At 45.9% G+C, this 6,000-nt stretch overlaps 1 protein-coding gene across 23 annotated transcripts in view; it reads left to right on the forward strand.

Moving 5' to 3' along the window:
• Positions 1 to 5,101, forward strand: part of NUSAP1 (nucleolar and spindle associated protein 1) — a 48,166-nt gene extending 43,065 nt beyond the window's left edge. For all 23 annotated transcript variants that reach the window (XM_006720559.4, XM_006720562.4, XM_005254428.4 and 20 more), the window contains 2 exons: positions 1,251 to 1,359; positions 4,148 to 5,101. In XM_006720559.4, coding sequence (XP_006720622.1) covers positions 1,251 to 1,359; positions 4,148 to 4,241 — 203 coding nt within the window. In that variant the 3' untranslated portion in view covers positions 4,242 to 5,101. The remainder of the gene's footprint in view (positions 1 to 1,250; positions 1,360 to 4,147) is intronic.
• Positions 5,102 to 6,000: the final 899 nt, after the last annotated feature.

Raw genomic sequence — 6,000 nt, forward strand, 5'->3', positions numbered from 1 at the left:
ATCCCAGATACTTAGGATGCTGAGACAGGAGAATCACTTGAACCTGTTAGGTGGAGGTTGCAGTGAGCCGAGACCGTGCCACTGCACTCCAGCCTGGGCAACAAGAGTGAAACTCCATCTAAAAAATAAAAATAAAAAATAAAAACTTAAGAATAAACAAATTCTGCGGCCGGGCGCAGTGGCTCTGGCCTGTAATCCCAGCACTTTTGGGAGGCTGAGGTGGGCAGATCACTTGAGGTCAGGAGTTCGAGATCAGCCTGGCCAACATGGTGAAACCCCGTCTCTTCTGAAAAAAAATAAGAAAATTAGCCTGGCGTGGTGGCGGCGCCTGTAATCCCAGCTACTTGGGAGGCTGAGGCAGGACAATCGCTTGAACCTAGGAGGCAGAGGTTGCAGTGAGCCGAGATTGCACCACTACACTCCAGCCTGGGTGACATAGTGAGACCACGCCTCAAAAACAGGCTGGGCGCGGTGGCTCACGCCTGTAATCCCAGCACTTTGGGAGGCCAAGGCAGGCGGATCATGAGTTCAGGAGATCGAGACCATCCTGGCTAACACATTGAAACCCCGTCTCTACCAAAAATACAAAAACAAAATTAGCTGGGCATGGTGGCGGGCGCCTGTAGTCTCAACTACTCGGGAGGCTGAGGTGGGAGAATGGTGTGAACCCAGGAGGTGAAGCTTGCAGTGAGCCGAGACCACACCACTGCACTCCAGCCTGGGCGACAGAACGAGACTCTGTCTAAAAAATTTAAAAAATAATAATAATTAAATTTAAATTAAAAAAAAAAGCAACACATAAACTTCAAGAAATTTGGTCCCAGTTCTTTTTGTAAAATTGCAAATTGGTTGGACACAGTGGCTCATGCCTGTAATCCCAGCACTTTGGGAGGCCAAGGCAGGCAGATTGCTTGAGAACAGGAGCTCAAGACCAGCATGGGCAACATGATGAAACCCCGTCTCTACTAAAAAATACAAAAATTACCCGGGCATGGTGGCATGTGCATGTAGTCCCAGCTACTCATGAGTCTAAATTGGGAGGATCACTTGAGCCCAGGAGGCGGAGGTTGCTGTGAGCTGAGATCAGATCACACCACTGCACTCCAAACTGAGCGACAGAGTGAGATTCTGTCTCAAAGAAAAAAAAAGTATAAATGTTGATAGCAGGTAACCCCACAGATGAAGAGAATGAAGTTGGGAATATAAATCAAACAATCTTTTTAAAATTCTTTGTCTCTGTCCTAAACTAGGAAAGCTAAAACCATGGGGGCAATCTAAAGAAAATAATTATCTAAATCAACATGTCAACAGAATTAACTTCTACAAGAAAACTTACAAACAACCCCATCTCCAGACAAAGTAAGTACATAATTATCCAGCTTTATAATTATTTTAATTTCAAAAGCAGCACCTCTGAGGGATAGGGGCTCAGTAATAGTGGTGTTTTAAGAGGAGGTTAGAAGTGGTATTATGGCCGTGTGCGGTGGCTCACGCCTGTAATCCCAGCACTTTGGGAGGCCGAGGTGGGCGGAACACGAGGTCAGGAGATCGAAACCATCCTGGCTAACACGGTGAAACCCCGTCTCTACTAAAAATACAAAAAATTAGCTGGGCATGGTGGCGGGCGCCTGTAGTTCCAGCTACTCGGGAGGCTGAGGCAGGAGAATGGCGTGAACCCAGGAGGCAGAGCTTGCAGTGAGCCGAGATCGCGCCACTGCACTCTAGCCTGCGTGACAGAGCCAGGCGCCGTCTCAAAAAAAAAAAAAGTGGTATCATGGGCCAGGCACGGTGGCTCACGCCTGTAATCCCAGCACTTTGGGAGGCCGAGGGGGGCAGATCACGAGGTCAGATCGAGACCATCCTGGCTAACGCATTGAAACCCCATCTCTACTAAAAATACAAAAAATTAGCCGGGCGTGGTGGCGGGCGCCTGTAGTCCCAGCTACTCGGGAGACTGAGGCAGGAACCTGGGAGGCAGAGCTTACAGTGAGCCGAGATCACGCCACTGCACTCCAGCCTGGGCGACAGAGTGAGACTCCGTCTCAAAAAAAAAAAAAAGTGGTATCGTGTATATAACTTTCTGAGTACATCTGCCTAGGTTCCAGTGTAATGGACTCCAAATCAGCAGATTTGGGGTGAGGCCCAAGCACCTGCATTGTTTCCAAGGCTCTGCAGGTGATTCAGAAGAAGACCCAGATTCAGAGCACTGCTCTTGCATGACTCATCTGCCTAAACACAGGGCATGTGGGTATCTCTCCAGATACCAATGCCCAGCAGCCCAGGGCACCTACATATCCAGATAGACATAAATTCCTCACTCCTAAGAAAACCAGGCTTACAAGGCGTCAAGGCCCTATAAAGAGGAAAAACCCAGGACGGTCCTTAGAGGCTTCCTTCAGCATGAAAACCAAGTTAAAGCCAGAGCTCATCCTGGGTTGCAGCAAGTCATGGTTGGGCCCAGATTCCCTGCTTGGACCCTCGTGACACAGGGTTACCTGTCAGTTGACTCATGGCTATACACGACTGCCACCAGGGCCTTTGCTCACCGTTATTAAGTTGGCCAGGCAAGGTGGCTCACGCCTGTAATCCCAGTACTCTGGGAGGCCAAGGCGGGTGGATCACGATGTCAGGAGTTGAAGACATGGAGAAACCCCATCTCTACTAAAAATACAAAATTAGCCGGGCGTGGTGGCACATACCTGTAATCCCAGCTACTCGGGAGGCTGAGGCAGCAGAATCACTTGAACCCGGGAGGCGGAGGTTGTGGCGAGCTGAAATTGCACCATTGCACTACAGCCTGGGCAACAAGAGCAAAACTCCGTCTCAAAAAAGAAAAAAGAAATCAAAGTCAAAGGTCAAGCTCAAAATCACATAGTTTAGTGAAAGGAATAGAACTAGAACCAGGATCTACTGAGTTAGCCATTATGCTCTACTTTCAGAGGATTAGACAAACCAAAAAAAAAAAAGAAAAAGCCCAAGATTATATTAACTTATCTTGGTTTTTTTTTTTTTTTTTTTTTTTTTTTGAGATGGAGTCTCGCTCTGATGCCCAGGCTAGAGTGTGGTGGTGCGATCTTGGCTCACTGCAACCTCTGCCTCCCAGGTTCAAGTGATACTGCTGCCTCAGCCTCCCGAGTAGCTGGGATTACAGGTTCCCGCCCCCGCGTGCAGCTAATTTTTGTATTTTTAGTAGAGACGGGGTTTTACCATCTTGGCCAAGCTGGTCTCAAACTGCTGATCTCAGGTGATCCACCCACCTTGGCCTCCCAAAGTGCTGGGATTACAGGCGTGAGCTACCACACCTGGTCAACTTTGATTTCTAGGTGTAGACATTTCTCATTTAAAACAAATTTTTTTTTTTTTCTTAGAGACAGGGTCTTACTTTTTGTCACCCAGACTGGAGTACAATGGCATGATCATAGCTTACTTTGGCCTTGAACTCCTGGGCACAAGGGATCCTCCCACCTTGGCCTCCCAAAATGCTGGGATTATAGGTGTGAGCCACTGCATCTGGCCTAAAGCAAACTGTAAAATAACAAGAGTTGGATTCAATCAGCAAGGTGTCTCCTGACTCCAATTCCATGCATGATTTTATTATTTATTTTTGTTTGTTTGTTTTGAGACAGTCTCATTCTGTCGCCCAGTCTGGAGTGCAGTGGCGTGATCTCGGCTCACTGCAACCTCCGCCTCCCGGGTTCAAGGGATTCTCCTGCCTCAGCCTCCCCAGTAGCTGTGATTATAGGCATGCACCACCACACCTGGCTACCTTTTTTGTATTTTTAGTAGAGACGGGGTTTCACCATTTTGGCCAGGCTGGTCTCGAACTCCTGACCTCAAGTGATCTGCCTGCCTTGGCCTCCTAACGTGCTGGGATTTCAGGCATGAGCCATCGCGCCCCGGCCTCCATGCATGATTTTAGAGTGCTGAGTTAACAAAAGGAAAATACCAGTTTCTAACCCTTTAACACAACAATGACGAACAGGTGTTAGAAACACTAGGCAGAGCACAGTGCCCTCTAAGAGTCTGTTTTACACAAGTATGCTGGATGTCATTGCTTGGAAGTTTGGGTGTTAGTCCAACAATAGTTGCTTTAAAGTATCTGTTTTGGAGCCTCCCTAGAGCTTAATGTGTGACCTATCCCTCTCAGGGAAGAGCAACGGAAGAAACGCGAGCAAGAACGAAAGGAGAAGAAAGCAAAGGTTTTGGGAATGCGAAGGGGCCTCATTTTGGCTGAAGATTAATAATTTTTTAACATCTTGTAAATATTCCTGTATTCTCAACTTTTTTCCTTTTGTAAATTTTTTTTTTTTGCTGTCATCCCCACTTTAGTCACGAGATCTTTTTCTGCTAACTGTTCATAGTCTGTGTAGTGTCCATGGGTTCTTCATGTGCTATGATCTCTGAAAAGACGTTATCACCTTAAAGCTCAAATTCTTTGGGATGGTTTTTACTTAAGTCCATTAACAATTCAGGTTTCTAACGAGACCCATCCTAAAATTCTGTTTCTAGATTTTTAATGTCAAGTTCCCAAGTTCCCCCTGCTGGTTCTAATATTAACAGAACTGCAGTCTTCTGCTAGCCAATAGCATTTACCTGATGGCAGCTAGTTATGCAAGCTTCAGGAGAATTTGAACAATAACAAGAATAGGGTAAGCTGGGATAGAAAGGCCACCTCTTCACTCTCTATAGAATATAGTAACCTTTATGAAACGGGGCCATATAGTTTGGTTATGACATCAATATTTTACCTAGGTGAAATTGTTTAGGCTTATGTACCTTCGTTCAAATATCCTCATGTAATTGCCATCTGTCACTCACTATATTCACAAAAATAAAACTCTACAACTCATTCTAACATTGCTTACTTAAAAGCTACATAGCCCTATCGAAATGCGAGGATTAATGCTTTAATGCTTTTAGAGACAGGGTCTCACTGTGTTGCCCAGGCTGGTCTCAAACTCCACCAAATGTACTTCTTATTCATTTTATGGAAAAGACTAGGCTTTGCTTAGTATCATGTCCATGTTTCCTTCACCTCAGTGGAGCTTCTGAGTTTTATACTGCTCAAGATCGTCATAAATAAAATTTTTTCTCATTGTCATAGATTCATTCTTTGTAAACATAAGTCTTCCAAGATTTAGGTGAGCAGCTAGGCTTAACAAGAGTTTATACATACCCTTGGTATGCCCTTTCCTGACCACTGCTTCCATTCAAAAAAGAAACGGCAGTATGCTTCCTTTATATTCCCAGAGTACCTCTCAGGTTTTATTAAATGCTGTTTTGTATATACGAGGCTTTAGGACATGGCACACTTCCGGGTACTGGAAACATTCAGATTTTCCTATCAAGGGGAAGAGATCAGATCAATTTTAAAAATTCAGGGTCAAATACACATCTGATGGAAATGTAAAATGTCACAACCACTTTGGAAAACAGTTTGCTAGTTTCTTTGAAAAGTTAACAGTATGTCTACCGTGTAATCTAGCCATGCCATTAGGTAGTGAGACCCTATCTGAAAAAAGAAAAAACCACCAGGATCTTACATAGAGAAAATCCTAAGGATTTCACTAAAAAGCTCCTAGAACTAATAAATTCAGTAAGGTTGCAACGTACAAGATCAATACCCAACAATTATGGCCAGACACAGTGGCTCACACCTGTAATCCCAGCACTTTGGGAGGCCAAGGCAGGCAGATCACTTGAAGTCAGGAGTTGGAGACCAGCCTGGCCAACGTGGTAAAACCACATCTCTACTAAAAATACAAAAATTAGCCAGGCATGGAGGCGGGCGCCTGTAATCCCAGCTACTCAGGAGGCTGAGGCAGGAGAATCACTTCAACCCGGGAGGCGGAGGTTGCAATGAGCCAAGATCATGCCACTGCACTCCAGCCAGGGCAACAGAGTGAGACTCCGTCTTGGAAAAAAAAAAAGATCAAGGCCGCCGCGCCGGCGAGCGCCGCCCGGGAGGCAGCGGCTGGAGGAGCGGACGGGCCCCGCGGG

The sequence above is a fragment of the Homo sapiens genome, chromosome 15 (assembly GCF_000001405.40).
Source record: "Homo sapiens chromosome 15, GRCh38.p14 Primary Assembly".
NCBI lineage: Eukaryota > Metazoa > Chordata > Mammalia > Primates > Hominidae > Homo > Homo sapiens.